We start from the raw sequence: 20,231 nt of genomic DNA, 5'->3' as shown, positions 1-20,231 counted from the left end.
AAAAGTTGAAAAAGAAAAAGAAAAAAAGAATGAATCTTACTGGGCTGATGTTTTCCAAATGTTTCCAAATTATGGTCCCAGAATGCCTATAGTCAGAATCATTACAACGAGCTCATGAAAAACAAGCCACAGACATGGTATGTCAGAATATCTGGGAGTGAGGATGGAAAAACTGCATTTTTGCTAAAGTTTAAGAACTATGGCCCCAGAAAATTACATTTAGGAGCAACGAGTTCAGATTTGTCCATTAAAAACCAACTATGGACTTTCAAATATGTCTTGGAAAAATCAAATACTTCAATTAAGAAAAAAGATCAAAAAGAGGTTACATAATATGACACTACTACTTCTGGAAATATAGATAATCACATTCAAAATCCCCATCACTTATTTTTATTCATTACTCCTACTGACTTCATTATGTCAAAGGAAATAAAGAATTTGGCTGAGGAAACTTACCTCAAAGACAATGATAAAAGCTAATCGAGCAGCTAGGACATGCCAAAACTGCAGTGTGTAGCCATAGGGCACCAGTGAATGAGGCGGGTCACGGTAGTCCCGGTATCTATAAAGACACAGAAAAATGTTGCATTCAAACTATGATTTTTCTGATTCTCAAATCTCTTCCATTCTCATTATATAGTCCTCATTCAATAGGAGGGAAATTTGAAGTTTCTCTATACTAGATATCTGTTGTTTTGCTTGTCCAGCATTTTTCTTCTGATAAAATAATATCTCTTCTCTGGGGAATCATCTGTGTGGGTTGACTAGGACTTCCCCCTCCACCTGCCTGATCTCAGCTCAAAAGATGAGCCAGACCTGATCAGTGACATCATCAAGATGTCTGCCAGAACTATCACTTAGTGAATGATCACTAAGCCCACAGAAGGCAAAAGCCTGGGACTCCTGGTGGCCTTGTATGGAGAGAGAGAGCCTGCTTGAGAAGGAAGTCAAGAAAACAAAGCAGAGACAGCAGAGAGGCAGCATCCTGCTGACACTGCTTGAGGCCTGGGATCCGGCCATTACTGAAGCTCATATCACCCCTTGACTCTCCCAGCTAACTGAACAATTTTTTGTTGTTTAAGTCAGTTTACCCTGGATTTCTGCCACTTGCCACTAGAAGAGTCCTTCCTAATGTATCCTCCAGCTATCACTTTTGAGTCGGCATAAAATGCCACAAATGTTTGCCGAATACCTGTTGGGGACCAGGCACTATTCAGAGAACTTTAATCCATGTGACTCCATTAAAGTAATACTTTAATAATACAACAAGCTCTCATAAATCCACTATGAAGCCCAAGAACTAAAACATTACCAGGAACTTACATCAATTGCTTCCCTTACCCTGAATTTCATTTTTATTTTTAACTTATATGTATATGCATTTGTCTGAATATTGTACTATTTAGTTTGTTTTTGAACTTTATAGAAAGGGTACTATACTATATGTAGTTTGCTGGGGCTTGCTTTTTTTACTATTATGTCACTAAGATTCATTCACATTATTGCATGTGGTTTATTTTTATTGCTGTATAATAGACTCTAGTGTGACTATATTATGGTTGTTTTATATAGCATATAAGTATACACTTACAGGCTGGTCATTCCTATATTTTCTTTTCTTTTATGTTGAGACAGAATCTCGCTCTGTCACCCAGGCTGGAGTGCAGTGGTGCGATCTTGGCTCACTGCAATCTCTGCCTCCCAGACTCAAGTGATACTCCTACCTCCCAAGTAGCTGGGACTACAGGTGTGCACAAAAATGCCTGGCTAATTTTTTTGTATTTTTGGTAGAGACAGGGTTTTACCATGTTGCCCAGGCTGGTCTCAAACTCTTGACCTTAAGCTATCTACTCACCTCAGCCTCCCAAAGTGCTGGGATTACAGGGTGAGCCACTGCACCTGGCCTCTATATTTTCTTTCACTTTCCCTAACCATGGAAAGCTTTGAAAAAGAAAGCTCCATCAATGATAGACTGGATTAAGAAAATGTGGCACAGATACACCATGGAATACTATGCAGCCATAAAAAAGGATGAGTTCATGTCCTTTGTAGGGACATGGATGAAGCTGGAAACCATCATTCTCAGCAAACTATCTCAAGGACAAAAAACCAAACACCGCATGTTCTCATTCATAGGTGGGAACTGAACAATGAGAACACTTGGACACAGGAAGGGGAACATCACACACCGGGGCCTGTCGTGGGGTGGGGGGAGGGGGGAGGGATAGCATTAGGAGATATACCTAATGTAAATGATGAGTTAATGGGTGCAGCACACCAACATGGCACATGTATACATATGTAACAAACCTGCATGCTGTGCACATGTACTCTAGAACTTAAAGTATAAAAAGATAAATAAATAAATAAAAAGAAAGCTCCAGTCCACTCACTTCAGCAAATTCCCTTTGGGTAAAAGTTGGCTGCAATGCTCTGTGTACCACTTCTTTCTGCCTTAGAATACCAAATATTCTTCCCAGGTCATTAATGTATTTGAGAAGGTGTTTTTAAATTTTTCTCTACATGTTTAGATATTTTCAGCCCGCAAGCTGATCTGGGTGCCTCACCTGCTATATGACTGAAAACAAACCTGAAAATATTATTTTACATGATTTTAATTAGAAATTTTAAAATGTTTTCTTTGGGGGACTTTTAAGAAAAATGCTAAACAAAACAATCATAATTTAACTTAATGGTGCCAGCATTAATACCTCCATTCACATTAATAATTTCTGGAATATACTTTTATGATACTATGTGAGACAGGCAGGAAGAATTATGAGCCAGGAAGCAGAAGAGGAGAAAGACTCTGTATTTTTATCTTATTTTCAAATGATTACAAAGTTTTTAACTCCAAATAATAGTTGGCATTTTATTTTGAAGCATTTCATACTTAGGATCCTGTATATGTCTAACAATGCTTGCTAAATAATTTCATGTACGAAATGGTCTGGACAAGCAAGTGGGAAATCTACTGAAGAAAGTATCAATTGTTGCTTAATTGCTTGCTTCTCCACTAGACCCCAACAGAGAGCGGCACTAGATTATATTCCAGCCAGTCTTTCTCCCCATCTTACTTGTTACTCCATGTGGGAAAGGAAATAAGCCATCTGATGAGATGTGACAGCCAATGAGACCTGGGAACTTGGCATGAGTGTTTAAAGGGGTGGAGGGTATGCTGTCACTGCACAGAAATGGGGAGCCCCTGGCTTCTCTCACCTTCACCTTCTGTAAGATGAGGGACTGAAGTGGATCATTACAAAAGTCCCTATGTCAAAGCATCTAGGACTCCATGGCTGTTCTTCCTTGTGGCTTTGATTACAGGGAGAACATAGAATGTCATGATAGGGAATCTCCAAAATTCTTTGTTTTGTTTTTGAGACAAGGTCTTGCTCCATAGTTTGAATGCAGTGGTGCTATCATAGCTCACTGCAGCCTTGACTGCCTGGACTTAAGTGATCCTCCCAACTTGGCCTCCTCAAGTGCTGGGATTACAGGTGTGAGCCCACAAAATTCTTATAACGTCAAAGTATTAAGAGAAAAAGGTGCCATCTGGACTCTTCAAGAACTGTGCACAAGTAATCTCATTGAGCTTTTAGTGAATGGTTTTATCATTTGTCAGATGAGATAATATTGCCTAACTTAGAAGGCTGATGTGACGATTAAATGGAGTAACAGTTTCTGGCACAGAGTAGGTGCTCAACAAATTCTCCTTCATGTACGTTTGTATAGATACACATCAAGAGGCACAGTTTAATTCATTTCCTTTTAGAGGGAGAGAAAGAAAGAGAGAATGAGCACATGTTGCAGAGGCTACTGTGGTGGAACCTGAAATGAACTGGGCCTCTTTCCACAGGCTTCTGAGTTGTTTAACATTTAGAAATGTGATGTGATATACTCTGGGCAAGAGAGAGAAGCAGAACAAAGACAAGTGCCCTCAACAGCTGTCGCTCAACCCGCCTGGGGATTGTCTGTCCCTGAGTCCCTGGAGCAGCGGTATAACCTTCACTACTATATTTTTAGTTTTTCCCTTTAAGCTAGCAGTTCTCAATTCTGACTGCACCTGGTTTCTGAGTTCCACTCCCTGACATTCTGTTTTAATTGGTTTGGGTTGTATCCCGGGCAAGAGAAGGCTTGAAAATTCTTCATGTGCTTTTAATGCACTGTTGAGATTGACAGTCACTGCTTTAAACACACTCAGCCAGAAGGGGCCTTCAGAGTAAAACCTCCCCACGGTGGAGCCAGCCCAGCTCAGGCAGAGCCACGCTGGGTGCCACACTCACCTGCAGTACTTAAGAGGAGTCCCCGAGAACTCACTGCCATCAGATTCAGGCTCAGATCGGTTCTCAAAGTCAGAAATTCGAAATACAGACAAGCTGGCATTCACATAGCCAACCATGCACCTATAAGAGGAGGCACATTCTACCATTAGAACACTCATCACCTTCTCTGTATCCAGTTCCCTGAAGACCCTGCTTCCCAGACGTCACTGCAATTGTAAATGCCTTTAACTGGCCCTTCCTTGTCAACCAGGACTCAGGTTGGGATACGCTGGAAAGCCCTGGGCATGTTGAATCAGGAACAAGTTGCTTGTTTTGGTTCTCATCCTTTTTCTGCAGAATCATCATATAGAACATCTCTACCCCAATTAATGTTTCAGTGAAATAGGTAAAAAGCAGCATTACATGATGGGCATAAATTGTATGTAAGCCACAGCTTCTTTTGTTGATGATACACATAAACACAGTTCCTCATTAATGGTTTCATATATATTTATAGATATTCTCAAAATGTTCCAAATATGATTGGTGTGCATATGATCCCCCCAACTCATATCCCATGCTACAGTCCTGTTAGACTATATTCCCTGAAAGCTTCTGATGTTTTCATGCCTCTGCTTGTTATCTTTTCTGTTAGAATTCCCTACCTCTTCCTTTACAAGTGGAAATAGTATTTATCCTTCAGCGGCCAACTGAAACACCACTCCTACTAGGAAGACAACCTAATCACTCCAGTCACAACATCTCACTCCTTTCCCTCTCTCTGTAGTGCCACCATACTTACTTAGTTCACCATTACCAGATCGCTTGTACTAGAGTTGGCAGCATATATGTATGCCCTCTCCTTTGGACTGCAATTTTTTGGGAGCAGAGCAGGTATCTTAGGTATTTGTGTATCCTATGACTTAGGACAGTCTTGTGCAGTGTAGGAATCCCATAAATATTGAATCGATCTGATTGGAGGAAACTAAAGTATGAGATTCTATTGATCATTCTAGATTGAATGGGTAGATAAAATCAAGATTTAATCATTCTGTCAATAATTCCATTCAAGAAAAAGCCCATTTTAAAAGTATCATAGCAAGTAGCACTCTTAGAAACATCTTTTCTCCAAGTCTCTAAACAGTTTTACATATTGAACATTGTGGTTAACACATGCACTTACTGAAATAACAATGTTTGAAACTTTGGGTGAAATTAGCACTTAGATACATCCTGTATACATTTTTCTTTAAATAGTGTTTTACATACAAAAGCTTGGGTTTTGGGGTCAAATCTTAGTTCTGCTGGTTTCTAGTCATGTAATATTGGCACGTTATATAACTTCTTACTTCTTCTTTTTTTTTCTGAGACAGGGCCTTGCTCTGTTGCTCATTGCTGGAGTGCAGTGGTATGATCATGGCTCACTGCAGCTTTGACCTCCCAGGCTCAAACGATCCTCCCACCTCAGACTCCTGAATAGCTGGGACTACAGGCATGTGTCACCACACCCGATTTACGTAACTTCTTAAAGTGACAGAAGTTCCCACCTCATAGGGTCCTTGAGGGGATTATATTAAACAATGAATGTATAGCATGTGATAAGATCTTAGCCTATAAGTAAGATAAACATGAGTGGTGATTATTCATTTTATTTATTTCTTGCATCTAGCAGGGGGTCAATAAGTAATTACTGATTGAATGAATAAATCATGATCTTCAGATTCTCTTCATTAACAAGTCTGGCATGATTATTCCAAGCTGCTGAACACTAAACCAAAATGATGACATGAACACAGTTCTGAGAACACATGGGTTCTGCATGTTATCGTGCTCAAGACAAATCACTGGCTTTATCATGGCCTTAAAAAAAATGAACCAAGCTGAAGGACCCATTTGTCAAGTCACTCGTGGGTGAAAACAAATGGTCAGGGAGTGTGTAACATGCCTTAATCCAACTGGCAGCAGGACTCCCCTACTGAAAGGGTAATTTGGAATGATGTCTCCCTTACCTAGGAACTGTCTAGACCTGGACATGAAAATAAATTAGTGCCTTGAGGATGATTAGCTGTCACAGAGAGGGAGTAAGTTTTAGCAGAGTCTTTCTAGAGATCTGAGCTGTGGGAAGGGAAAGGTGTTCTGGGAACTGGTGAAAAAAAAAGGCCCAGCACTGAAATGGAATATTCATAACCCCTCCTGCACTCTTATCTCACAGACCAGCCCCGAGGCTTTATCAAGACTAACGCTACTGTCCATTGGTTGTTCTGCTCAAAAACTCCATTAAGAAAATTTAAATTTAAATAAAACACCTGTTTCATGGACCTAATGCATGAATGACAGTCATAAATCCAAGTTGAAAATGTGTCTTTAGAGGGTGGTTACTCCTGAGTGCAAAGCATTAAATGTGTACCTAGTACAGGAACACACAGTTATCAGCTGTGTACATCTTCCTTCCATATCATTTCCATAATGGGGGAAAAGATGCACGGACAGCTAGACGTTTCACTAATTCCTTTCACCTTTTGTAGACTGTTAGCTATTGTCAATATCAAATAGTGAAAGTTGTCATCAATTCAGGCAAGTGAGATTTATCACATTTTGCTGTATAAAATTCAGCTAGTGGCATGCAAGTGTCAACTCACTGACCCATTGTTATAGCAGGAAGGTCACAGGTAGTAGAGAGCCCATGTCTATCACTGGGTTTACTGGCAGGAATGCTATATACCCTCACTGTGACCCACCACCAGCTCTCAATGAGACAGAGGGAGATGAGGCTACACTGATGATCAGGGAGAATTGAGAAGTACCAAGAAAAAAGTAACAGACGAAGGGTTTCCTGTGAATATAAAGTCAGTTTTCTTAAAGGAATGGTAGATGGCCTCTGTAGGCACTTCCAAGAAAGATCTAGAAAATGTCTTCTACAGGGTAGTGCCATTTGGATTAGGATGCATATCTCTTCCATGTAACTTCTGAGAAGACCACACACTCATTTAAATGTGAGAATTCTACCGTGAAAGCCACTCACCACTTATAATTTTCAATCCTTTAATACATAAGAAAGGGATGAGCCAGCAATCACTGTACTACCCTAAAGGCTTATGACTTTCTATACCTTGACAATTCTGCTACTCTTATGAGTTCAATAATTTCTAAAGCATTTCTAAATTGGAAAAATAAAAAAAATCTGAAAAGTAATAGAGTGGCCAGTGAGGCAGAAAATAAGATTCATGAAGAAACATACATAAATTTAACTACTTGAAAACATGAAAAATGACTAATGGATTAGAAAACAAAAGGCAGATCCATAAATTGAAAGTGGCAGAAGGCTCCTAAGTCAAAGAGAAAGGTTAAAAAAGAAAGAAAGAAAAGAAAAGCTCCAAAGAGCCCAGTAAAATTGATACAAGGAGGCTATGAGATACACTTTAATCACTGTGGACATTGTCTTAAATCTACCAGGTTGTTAAAATTCTAAATCTTTGATTCACTATCAATTGTGCATAAAGGTTCCCATTTTGTTTTTGGTTCCCCCTAAAACAAGATAGATTTCACCATATTTGAATTTGGGAAAGAACTGAAACACCATTACGACGGAAAATCCAGGGGGTTTACTGTTAAGGGACAGCCTCAAGGGCTGTGAGGTGCGGGATGGAGAGTGAGTCGAGGCTCCACCTTCACATGGGCTCCCAGAGTTACTATGCCTTGTGATTCTGGACTTAACCTCTTTTAATCTCTTCCTGCTCCTCAAAGTGAAGATTATAATGCACATCCCACTCCCAGGGCTGTTTTGAGAATCAACTAAAAACACATGTGAAAGTGGTTTGAGTGAAAGTAAGCTTTTTCAGGCTAAGCCAAGCAGAGAATGTCAACGATAGTTGCAATTAGAAAGAAATGCCTGGGCAAAATAACATGTCTTTACATTTCTCTTAAAATGGGATGGTATGCTCACTAAAAGTTGCTAGATAATTAGTGTGTCATGGCCACATGCTTATAGTAGTCAAGAACTTTACAGAAGCCTTTTCAAATAACTGGATTGTGAGCTTTATGACATTCCTCAATCATCCACACCTTAGCCCATTTATGTAGGATTCATAATGAATTGGACCCAGGCCAGGTTTGCATGAGTTCAGTTGATTTGCTTTGGTGGCACTTAACTCCTTGGGGTCGATCAGCTACAATGGCTGTAGAGGATGAATCAATCTGGCTCAGGCTAGTAAACCAGGGCTGCTTGTATAAGTAGACAGCAGCCCATGTAGGGTGATTTCTGGGTTATTAAGAAGACCCTGTGATCCCCAAACACACCTCACTCTGACCTATAGACATCAAAATCCCATAATAAGAGTTTAACTATTTTGGCTTTAACCAAACAGGGATTTTTAAAGCATGTTAAGACTTCTTGCCCTTTCTCCAAGGTACAGGAATGAAACTAGGGGATGTTATAATTTTGACTTATCTTTATCTGACCATATATAGCGTGCCCTGGCTTTGCAAACCATTGAGGCAATGCCATAGAATTGATCCTCCCAAGGAGTTTAGTCCACTCAGCTTGCTTGGGGTAATATAGGCATTGGTCAGGTCAATACCCATGAAAAAGTCATTCACTTACTTATTCCACGAATACTTATTGAGGACCTACTGGGTACTCAGTACCTAGTTCCGTATTTCCTATGTAAGATCTGCAGAGTTTACACATAATGACACAATGTAAATCAGATTGTAACTGTCCTTTTGCAAACTCATAAAATGATATAACTATATATACATCATATGCTACTGTTTTGGTATACACATTAGCATATCACACATTTCTAAATTCATAGTGGGCAGAGGTCAGGGGTGGGGAAAATGATTAATTGCCACTCTTACATTGGATTCCATCTAAAACCTGTCTGACTTGTATGTCCTCCAACTCTTTGGTAGATGAGGACATGTTTTCTTTGGCTGACAGTGTTATTATTATTATTTATAATAAATCATAATTCCACCTCCCCTATCACAGGCCTCTCCTTCTGGGCATGTATTCCATATTCTCCAGTGCAGTCTTCTGTCTGAGTGTCCAACCTCAAAAAATGGCTAGGAAATAGAAACTGTATAGTGGTTTTATAGCAAACTTACTTTTGCCCAGCTTCTCCTTGGCCTGCACAAGGTCCATACTTATAAGCATACACCAAGCGAGGGATAAAGTCAGATGTTATCGCTATGACAAATGCATTTGTGATAACAGAGAGAATTCCAATGCCTTCAAGAATTCCATACCAAATTCCTATTCAAATAGAAGTGTTGTGTTAGTTCCATACACAAAACAGAGGTGATAATTATGAAAAAATGGAATTAATTTTTAAAAGTCCTTTTCATGGGTCCTTTCTTCATCTTTCCAAATACTGACAGTTGCAACCAGGAGGAAAGATTTGTGCAAACAACTTGGCATTGAGGGAGTTTCTATGGGAGTGTCTATATGCTTGTGACTTAATAGTCAGGATCAGACATGAGGCAGAGAATTCTGGTTAATGATAAGGCACCAAAATACCATCTGATAGGATCAGCACACATAATGTCAAGCCCCACCAGACTGGGAGCTCCTTAAGGGTATGGATTTGGTCCCTTCTGTTCATCTTTGTGGGCCCTGCCAATAACACACTGACCCAGGGTAGGTGCTCACAGAATGTGTGCTTGTTTCATGTGGAGGTTAAAAGACGTCATTAACAATAACATCCACATGCAATTCTCTTCCACACATATTGGCTGGGTGACTGCCTGCTCTGTGCTAAGCACTGAATGCAGAAATGAATAAAAGACAGTCTTTGATCTCAGGCAGCTCTCATGCGAGCTGCATCTGATTCAACTTAGCATCTCTAGTCAAAGACCAAAGTTCATCTCTGCCGTTAGAAAAACTGGATTATACTTCATGTAAATCAGGCAAACATTTAGGAAAGAACAAATCAAGGTTAAGCAAATGGAAGATCTATTTTAAAAAGGATATAAGTGATAATAAATCTAAATTTTAGATTCTAGAATCTTAAGATAGAAATAATCAAATTGAGACTCTATTTAAGCACAAATTCTCTAGCACTGGAAATTATAAACTTCCAAATAGGTAGCTTTACTTCTTGTCTAATATTATTTAAAACTAATATAATTATTCTTTGCAAAAATTAGGTGAATTATATTAAATGGAAAACATAATTAAAAATCTAAAGTTTGTGGCTTTTAAAATTTTATCCACCAGATGTTTAATATGTTTTTTAAAAACATACCCAAATCCAACTTACCTATGTCTTTGGCCCTTGAAGCTAAAGGTCTCCTCCACTGTGTGACAAATTTGTAAGCATCAAGTCGAATTTCAATTATGTTATTCAGTAAGGCCAGAAGTGGTGCTAGGGGAAAAGCTGCCACAAAGATAGTTGTGAATCCAAACTGAAGAACTAGAAAAGAAAAAAGGAAAAAGAGCAGAGAGTATTGGTTTTCCATTACTATTTTCAAAGGGATCATAATCTGAATATGTTATTGTCTTAAGTCCCATTTTTCCCAATACAGACGCACAGGGGATATCTCTTCCAGAAAGATGGCCAGGAGACTGGAAAAAGAGGCACTTCCTGGGCCTGGAAGCAACGGAATCCTGGGAGCTATGAGCACACCTAGGATCCAGATCTTGTTTCCTAAATATCATTCTCTAACCAAAGGAATCAGTGTTCCTTGGAGGATGGTTTGATTCCAGAGCTACGGTAGGGACAATACAAGAGAAGCCTGGGACATCTTGTGATGCCAGAAAGGAAGGAAATGCTCAACAAATGATGGGGACATGCCAATAGGACACAGAACAAACTTGAAGGCACCCCTAACGGCCAAATCTGGAACAATTTGTATGAAAGAATATTAATAATGAAAGCATGGGATTATGACCCAAAGACTAAGTATCTAAGTCCAGACTGATGTAAATATATACTTACGTAAATAAGTGATTAAATAAATAAATGGGAGATAAGGGGTGGCTCTTCCTTATGGTAGAATTCTAATTAATCAACATAGGAGGAACTATGAAAATTAAAAAATCACCATTAGTCAAACATCACAGTAATAATTTTTGTAGGCAAGAAATATCAAAGAATGCTAAAATTAGTAGGGGGAAGTGTATTGAAGAAACTAGGATATTTGTAGATTCTCAGAGTATCTCCTCACATAACTTTTACTAATTACAAAACAGAAACTTTTTAGCAGAGGAACCTGGAAAACATCTTTTTTGTTTGTTTTGTTTTTTGTTTTTTTTTGAGACAGAGTCTAGCTCTGTCCCCCAGGCTGGAGTGTAGCAGCACGATCTCGGCTCACTGCAACCTCCGCCTCCTGGGTTCAAGTGATTCTCCTGCCTCAGCCTCCTGAGTAGCTGGGATTACAGGCGCCCGCCATCACAACCAGCTAATGTTTGTATTTTTAGTAGAGACAGAGTTTCACTGTGTTGACCAGGCTGGTATCAAACTCCTGACCTTGTGATCCGCCTGCCTTGGCCTCCCAAAATGCTGGGATTACAAGTGTGAGTCACCGTGCCCAGCCGAAAACATAATTTTAACCAAGTGATCAAAGTAAATATCACCAGTAACAAGACATAATGATGTTACACACCCCGATATGATGCACTGAGGAGGGTATAACATCACTTAAGTGGTATTCTTGCCAAAAATGAATAACCCCAACCCAATTGTGCAAACGCACGAGACAAACCTGAATTGAAGGAGCTTTTCCAAAACTACTGACAAATACTCTGCAAATATGTCAAGATCATGAAAAACAAAGACAGACTGAGGAATTGTCATTGATTAAAAGAAACTAAGGAGACAACATATCTAAATGCAATGCTGGATCTTGGAAGTATTGTGAACAAGAAAAAAGTTATTACTGGGAAAATGCAAAATTCAAATAAGGTCTGTGGATTAGACAATAGCATTGTATTCTTAACTTTTCTTGTTTTAATAAATATGTAAGATGTTAACATTAGCAAAAGTAAGGTATAGAAACTACTCTTTTTGCAACTTGCAAAATAAAAATTTTTTCAAAAGGAGGTGGTTTCTGATGCAAAACAACCAGTCATCATAATGGAAAATAAAAAAATAAAATTTACTGGGCATCATGGACAAAAAGTATTTGGCTGTTTGAATGACTATGTATATATACATATATGACTGTAAAAATAGTAAAAAATATATTTACAAACTTTATTTTAGAAAGTAACAACAACAAAACAATGACTACACATATATAGCATTTTCTATGTAAAAACAGGCATTGTTCTAATTACTTCATATACACTAACTCATTTAATTTTCATGACAACCTTAGGTGGTGGGTACTACTATTATCCTCATTTTACAGGTAAGGAAACCGACGCACAAAGAGGTCAGGTAACTTGCCCAAAACAAGTTAAGTAAGAAAGGACTCTAATCCCAGCGTTGTAGCTCCAGAGTTCTGCAGAGTCCATCTACCTCATCTTGGTTACACTGCCACCTCCAGGTGTCCCCTGTCTTTGGTCACATTCACACTTAGTGCTTGTGCTAGGTGGCTCTTTACCCACAAATAGATGTGGGCGTTCCCTTCTGTTTCAACCTTGGTTTTATTTTTCTCCTGCCTTCTCTCTTTCCTTGGTAAGTCCATCTACTCCTATGACTTCATTATTATCTCTCTGATAAGGGTTCTCAATTCTCTATCGCTAACCCTGACTCTTTTCAGGGAATTTCCAGTTGTCTGTAATGCTACAGAAACAGCACTCCCCAAACCAATCTCTGAACCTCATCCTTGAACGTATTTATCCTTTTATGTCCCTTCTCGTTTCCTCCCTTCTGAATCAACTTGCATAAAAACCAGGTCTCTGCTAGCTTAGCCTTCAGAACCATTAGCCTCCTAGTCCTGACAATTACTCTTCAAAAATGTCTCTCATTTCTCCCTCCTCTCCACTGTCCCCACTTGAGTTCAGACTCTGATTTTCTAACTGACTTTTTTGCCTCCAAACTTTCAGCTCCCTTCCCTATCATTCTGCTGTCAGTGTGCCTAAAATGTTGGTTCAACCCCATCACTCATCTCCCTACACAAAATGTTTCAGTAGGTTCTCACTGGCTGCAGAATAAATCCGAAACTTCACCATGCCATTCAAGGATCTCAATAAATTGACTCCAAGCAAACTTCCAAGCCTCATGTCCAAATACACCCCACACAGAAAACAGGTTTCCCAAACAATCCTCTACTCTGGCCACACTAGTCTTCTGATTTTATGGGGATACAGCATATATGCAGTGTTGCTATGACTACTTTGATGAAGTAGTCATTCTACCTTCAAGAGTACTCAAATATACCCTCTTGAGTCTTTCATAATTGTAATTAACTACTACCTCCTCTGTAGCTGCCACAACTCTGCTCACCACCATAAAACTTACTTTGTCTTGATTTTACGGCGTTTTGCCTTTTTCCCCTTTTGCAGTGAGCTTCATGAAAGTAGAAACAGCAACTTCTTTATGTTTCTTTTTCCTACATACTCACTACAGGGGTTTTGTGTATGGGAAGGACTTGTCAGGTACCAAATAATGCTGGTTCAATGACTGACATGTAATTACAACGAAGGCCAGAACACAAAGAAAACCTATCAGGTAGAAATAAAACTGACAGAGATAATTCTTACAATCACTAACAGTAATGGATGTTATGGACAGAAAAAGCAACTAGAGTTTAGTTCTTTCAGGTTATATTTATAATGAAAATAACTGCAAGTTTAAAAAGAAAATGTGTTTAATTCATTGGTAGTTTTTGTTTATCTGACACCTAATGAGTTTCATTATCTAGTTAAATATTATGGCCTAAAACCAAACCAACCAATCATTTTTACATAGCACAAAGGTGACCCACATGATATTGGTCTTGAAGTGATTAATGCCCATTAACTGCTGCTTTTTTTTTTCAAGGGAAGAGACTTGTAGCATAGAGGTAGATTAATTTTTAAAAATTCTTTGGGAAAAAACTTTTAAATATTGGAAAGCATAAAGAATGATATAACAAACTTCCATATACCCATGGAAGAGTTAGTATTAACTCTTGGTAACATTTTGTCATACCTGCTTAATATCTTTTTATAAATAAAATAAATACTATATAGATAAAACTGAATTCTCCTCTATTTTTGCTCTTGAGTGGTTTCCTCTCCCTTCATAGAGACAATTGCTGACATGAGTTTTGCATGCATCCTTCCAGTTCATTTATATATATATATATATATATACACACACACACACATGAATATCCATATATCAATAAATTATACATAGTGCATATATCATGTAAATAATTTTTGTGCCTAAACTTTACATAATATCATTATTTACAATTTTTTTGCCCTGTTCATATCACATGATAATTTTGAGATATTATCTTGATCTATATAGACCTAGTTCAACTTTTAACTGTTTTATATTCTAATATATAAGTTTACCTCCTTTTAATTTACCCTTTCTCAGACATTACATCTTCAAATATCACTTTTTCTCATTCTTTAATTCTTTCTAGGACTTCTCTTACAAATATTTCAGCCTTTTTGGCTGTTTTGCATGTTTCTTATGTTTTCTGCTCTGTTTTTCTGTTCTTTTCTCTGGGCTTGTTTGGATTTTCTTTTTATTGACTTGTCTTCAAGTTCACTAATTTACTGTCTTACGCTAAGTCAATCTGCTCATTTTTCTTTTTCTTTTTTTTGAGACAGAGTTTCGCTCTTGTCGCCCAGGCTGGAGTGCAGTGGCATGATCTCAGCTCACTGCAACCTCCACTTCCTCAGTTCAACTGATTCTCTGCATCAGCCTCCAGAGCAGCTAGGATTACAGGCACGCACCACCAAGCTAATTTTTGTATTTTTAGTACAGACAGGATTTCGCCATGTTGGTCTCGAACTCCTGACCTCAGGTGATCCACCAACCTTGGCCTCCCAAAGTGCTGGGATGACAGGCGTGGGCCACCGTACCCAGCCTCAATCTGCTATTAAACATATCAAATGAGTTCTTAATTCCAGATTTATATTTTGCAATTCTAGAGTTATTTTATAGATTTTAATTCTCTTTCAAAAGTCTTAATTTTTCAATCATTTTTGTCAGTATTTTCTTCTATTTTTATACGTAAATCATAGCTATTTGAAAGTCTCTGTGTGCTAAACCCAATTTCTGAATCATCTTTGGGTCTCCTTTTTCCTCTTGATTATTAGTCACATTTTCTTGCCTTTTTGCATACCTAGTAATCTTTTTATTGTATGCCACACATGTAGAGGCTCTAGATCAAGGGTCAGCAAACTATGGCCTGTGGCCAAATTTGACCAACCATCTGATTTTCTTTTTTAACCATCTGTGAGCTAAGAATAGTTTTTACATTTTAAATGGCTATATTTTAAATGGCTGTAAAAGTGTCTACAAAATAGCCTTGATTTTGCCATTGGCTCAAAAAGCCAAAATTATTTACTATCTAGTTCTTTAGGAACAAATTTGTGATACTCCGCTTTCAGTGATGTTCTTTTCTACCATAAAGAAAGAATTCCTCCTGGTGATGTTAGGCAGATAAGAGAAATCACTTAAAGCTGGTCACAGATTAAGCTGGGCTAGTGCTGGCATAGAGTGTTTGTAAAGCTTACTCCACCTTTGATTTGTTCTTGTTCCTTTGCTGTGATTGAGAAACTGCTGGGTCCCTATCTCCTTAGCTCTGAGAGGCAATAAGAGGCTCACTTCTGCCCTTTGAAAGGTTTTAAGGTTAGCTCTTCAGCCTCCTGCCCATCATATCCTCAAAGTGTTGCATTATTCAATAATTACTTTACATAATGATAAAAACACCAATTCAACAGTAAGTCAGAATAATCCAACTTGTATGTACATAATAACCCAGTTTCAAAATACATAAAGCAAAAGTTGACTGAACTAAAAATAGAATAAGACAAATCCACAATCATACTTGGGGATTTCAAGTATGTAACTAGTAGATAAGAGGCACAATATTTAACAAGGACTTAGAAGATTTGAAAAACACAATTAACCAATCTTGCCTAATTGACATAAAAATGTAGACCATTATACCAAACAACTAAATGCAGAACATACTTGAAACATATATCAACATAGATGGTATAAAGGAGCATAAGGTAAATCTTTTTATTTATATATATATATATATATATATATATATATATATATATATATACACACATACATACACACACACACACACACACACATATATATATTATCAAAAGCCTGAAATAACGTAGAGAATATACTCTGATAACAGTGTAATTAAATTAGAATCAATGACAGAGCAATATATCAAAACTCTTTAGATGTTTTGATACTAATGCATTCCTTCAAAATGCATAGTCGAAAATAAATTACAAGGGAAATGGAAAATGTTTTGCTAATAAAATCAATATATAAAAACTTGTGGGATACAGCCAAAGCAGTATTTATAGAGAACATTATAGCTCTGAATGCCTATATTAGAAAAAAAGAAAATCTGAAAATCAGCATCTTGAGATGCTGAGAAAAAAAGTGAAATTAAGCCCAAAGGAAGTAAAGGAGGGAAATAAAGATAAGAGCAGAAATGAATGAACCAAAAGGCAAATGTGTAGTAGAGAAAAATCAACAAAGACCAAAGTTAGTTTTTCTTTTGAAAAGATTAATAAACCTCTAAGGTACTGTTTTAAAAAAGGGAGAAAAGCACAAACTATGAAATTATAAGTGAAAGAAAGGGCATCACTATACACCCTAGATACATAAAAAGTTAATAAGGAGATATATAAACAATTTTACGCTGCTAAGTTTGAAAATTTAGATGAAATGAACAAGTTTCTTGAAAAAATACATGACTAAAACACAGCTTATGAAAACAGATGCTAGAAGAAACAAAAAAATGAAATAGTCCTATATCTATTAAGTAAAATAAATCTATAATTAAAGTTCTTCCTGTGAAGAAAATTTCAAGTCCTGCTACTTCATTGTAAATTCTTCCAAGTATGTAAGAAAGAAATAATAGTAATCTTATGTAAACTGCTTAAGAGAAAAATAATTACCCAATCATTTTAAAGGGCTATCATAAAAATGATACCCAAATCTAAATGAAACGTTACAAGAAAGAAAAACTACACTATAATATCTTCCATGAATGTATATATAAATATCATAAGCAAAATATCAGCAAATTGAACTTAGTAATTAAAAAAATGCATGGTGACCCAAGTGGGCATTTTTTCCAAGTTTGCTAGGTTAGTTTAACAACTTTTTAACAACAAAAAATAATCAATGAAATCCACCACATTAGTAAAATTTTTTAAAAAATCACATAATCATTTCAATAGATTCAGAAAAATGACATGATATAATGTAATACTAGTCATGATAATAACTCTCAGCAACCTAGGGATATATGAAAACTTCTTTAAGGAAATAATAAAAAGTATGTACAAAACAATACAGCTAGCACCACACTTAATGGTAACATATTGAACACTTTCACCCTCAGGTCAGAAACAATGATGTCCAGTATCATCAATTTTATCCAGCATTATATAAAAGGTCTTAGTGCATTTAGGCAAGAACAAAAAGATATATATATATATATATATATATATATATATATATATATATATATAAAATGACTAAAAAGGAAAATGTAAAGTTATCATTATATGTGGATGATACAATTATGTATATATGGTAGAAAATCTCAAAAAATATATAAGCAACTCTAATTGACATTAGATGCTAGCAAGTTTGCATAAGCAAACATACAAAACAACAATATTTCTGTATATTATTAGTAACAAAACATTAGAAAATAAAACAATAAAAACATCATTTGCAGTTGCACAAAGATTCCTAAGGTGCCTAGAAACAACTCTAATCTAAATTTTACAAAACCTATATACTAAAATCTACAAAAAGTATTGCTGAGAAAAATGTAAAAAGACATAAATAAATGCAAAGGTATACCATTTTCATGGACTGGGGAAACATCAAATATCTTCAAATTGATGTAGGAGTTCAATTTAATCCCAACTAATATTTCAGTAAGATTTTTATAGAAATTAGAAATCTGGTTCTAAAACTTATATGGCAACAATTTTGAAGAAGAATGAAGCTGAAATTTCTTTTCATTTAAACACACCATTAGAATGAGAAGTCAAGCCAACCACTGAGAAGTGATATTTAATTTTCAACATATATATCTGACAAATAATTGATATCCAGAATATATAAATAACAAATCCCTAAGGAAAAGACAGATACCCACAAAAAAAACATGGGCTTGAATATAAATTCACAAGTTTATCCAAATAACTATAAGCATATGAAAAGGTGCTCAGCATTATTAGTTATCATAAAATTTCAAGTTAAAATCATGATGAGATACTGCTGCATACCAACCCAAATGGCTAAAATACGAACGCAAGTTTTAGTAAGTTTGTGGAATAACTGGAACTGTTCTACTATTAGCCAGAGTATAAACTGGCACAGCCCAGTTTTGAAGACTGTTTTCAAGTGTTTATTAAAGACAAACAAATGCATATCTATGGCCTCCTAACTCCACTCTTATGTAAATTCTTAATAAAAACATCTACGTATGTTAATCAAAATACATGTACAAAAATGCCGTAAAGGTATTATTTATAAGAGCCTAAATTTGGAAACAACACAAGTGTCTATCAGCAGTAGAATGGATGGATAAATAATAGTACATTCTTTTTTTTTTGAGACGGAGTTTTGCTCTCTCTCCCAGGCTGGAGTGCAATGGTGCAATCTTGGCTCACTGCAACCTCTGCCTCCCAGGTTCAGGCAATTCTCCTGCCTCAGCTTCCCAAGTAGCTGGGATTACACACGCCTGCCACTGCGCCCAGCTAATTTTTGTATCTTTCAGTACAGACGGCGTTTCACCACATTGGCCAGGCTGGTCTTGAACTCGTGACCTCAGGTGATCCACCTGCCTTGGCCTCCCAAAGTGCTAGGATTACAGGTGTGAGCCACCACGCCTGGTCAATAACAGTACATTATTATTCAGGAGCCTAGAAGATCTGCAAACTCACAAAATAGCTCATCTTTTGGCTCACTGATGTCTTCACTTCTACAAGTGAATTTGCCTTTTTTTTTTTCCTGACTCAAGCTTGGCAGAGGCTTTGCTTTTGTTAAAATGCAGTTACCTAGCATATTATTATTTAGAGTGCTCAGGAGTACATTTCATGATATGTGGAGGGTTGAGGGATTGATGGTGGTATAGGGGTCTGTGTGCTGTGTCAGGGCAGCAGGGGACAAAGTTGGGGCTCATCTGGGAGTGGAAATGCAAACAAAACAAAACAAACAAACAGAAAAACCCACATGACTAAGGAAAGATGAGGGTGGGTGTCAAAGACAAACTCCTGTTTCATAATTTGGCTCCTGGTCTACATTCTAGGAATACTATACAGCAATAAAATGAAGTTCTACTACCTGTAGCAAAATGGGAGAATGTTAGAAAGATGATGTTGAATGAAACAAGCCAACTACAAAGGGTATGTACTCTACAATTACATTTAAATGGAGAATAACAAAGGTAAAGTTAATCTATGGTGTTAGAAGTCAGGAAAGTGGTTAGAGAGGGTGTTATAAATGGAAGAGGGGACAAAGAAGTCTTCTTTGATATTGATAATATTCTATTTCTTGATCTAGCTCACTGGGTAGCAACATTTTCTAGAAATAAAGAAGGCTTTGCAGACCAGCCACTTTCTGACACAACTACCCAACTCTACTGTTGCAGTGCCAAAGCAGCCACAAATAATATGTAAATAAATGGGAGTTGCTGTGTTCCAATAAAACTTTATTTACAAAAACAGGCAGTGGGCTGAATCTGACCTGCAGGCAATAGTTTGCCAACCTCTCATCTACATATATTTGGTTACATTTGTGTGTAAATTTGCAAAAACTCATTGGTCTCTACACTTATATACAC

General features: G+C 37.1%; 1 protein-coding gene across 16 annotated transcripts in view, besides 2 other annotated features; it reads right to left on the bottom strand.

The window, feature by feature from the left end:
- The window catches only part of ANO4 (anoctamin 4), a 411,381-nt gene that overhangs the window by 7,557 nt on the left and 383,593 nt on the right, over positions 1 to 20,231 (bottom strand). For all 16 annotated transcript variants that reach the window (XM_011537912.3, XM_011537911.3, XM_047428302.1 and 13 more), the window contains 4 exons: positions 10,529 to 10,681; positions 9,375 to 9,522; positions 4,287 to 4,406; positions 460 to 565 (listed from right to left, as the gene is read on the bottom strand). In XM_011537912.3, coding sequence (XP_011536214.2) covers positions 460 to 565; positions 4,287 to 4,406; positions 9,375 to 9,522; positions 10,529 to 10,681 — 527 coding nt within the window. The remainder of the gene's footprint in view (positions 1 to 459; positions 566 to 4,286; positions 4,407 to 9,374; positions 9,523 to 10,528; positions 10,682 to 20,231) is intronic.
- Positions 14,202 to 14,371: an enhancer, noted in NCBI's record as "experimental_22530 CRE fragment used in MPRA reporter constructs". NCBI's record gives its function as "activates a minimal promoter by MPRAs in K562 erythroleukemia cells, with activity observed for both the introgressed and non-introgressed 12:101500577 variant alleles {active_cell/tissue: K562}" and the evidence as "EXISTENCE:reporter gene assay evidence [ECO:0000049][PMID:34662402]".
- Positions 19,537 to 19,742: a silencer, noted in NCBI's record as "fragment chr12:101495121-101495326 (GRCh37/hg19 assembly coordinates)". NCBI's record gives its function as "represses an EF-1alpha promoter that drives an FKBP-Casp9 reporter gene in an ReSE screen in K562 erythroleukemia cells {active_cell/tissue: K562}" and the evidence as "EXISTENCE:reporter gene assay evidence [ECO:0000049][PMID:32094911]".

This window comes from Homo sapiens, chromosome 12 (genome assembly GCF_000001405.40).
Source record: "Homo sapiens chromosome 12, GRCh38.p14 Primary Assembly".
NCBI lineage: Eukaryota > Metazoa > Chordata > Mammalia > Primates > Hominidae > Homo > Homo sapiens.
The sequence above is the reverse complement of the archived record's forward strand: the minus strand, read 5'-3'. Positions and strand labels throughout refer to the sequence as shown.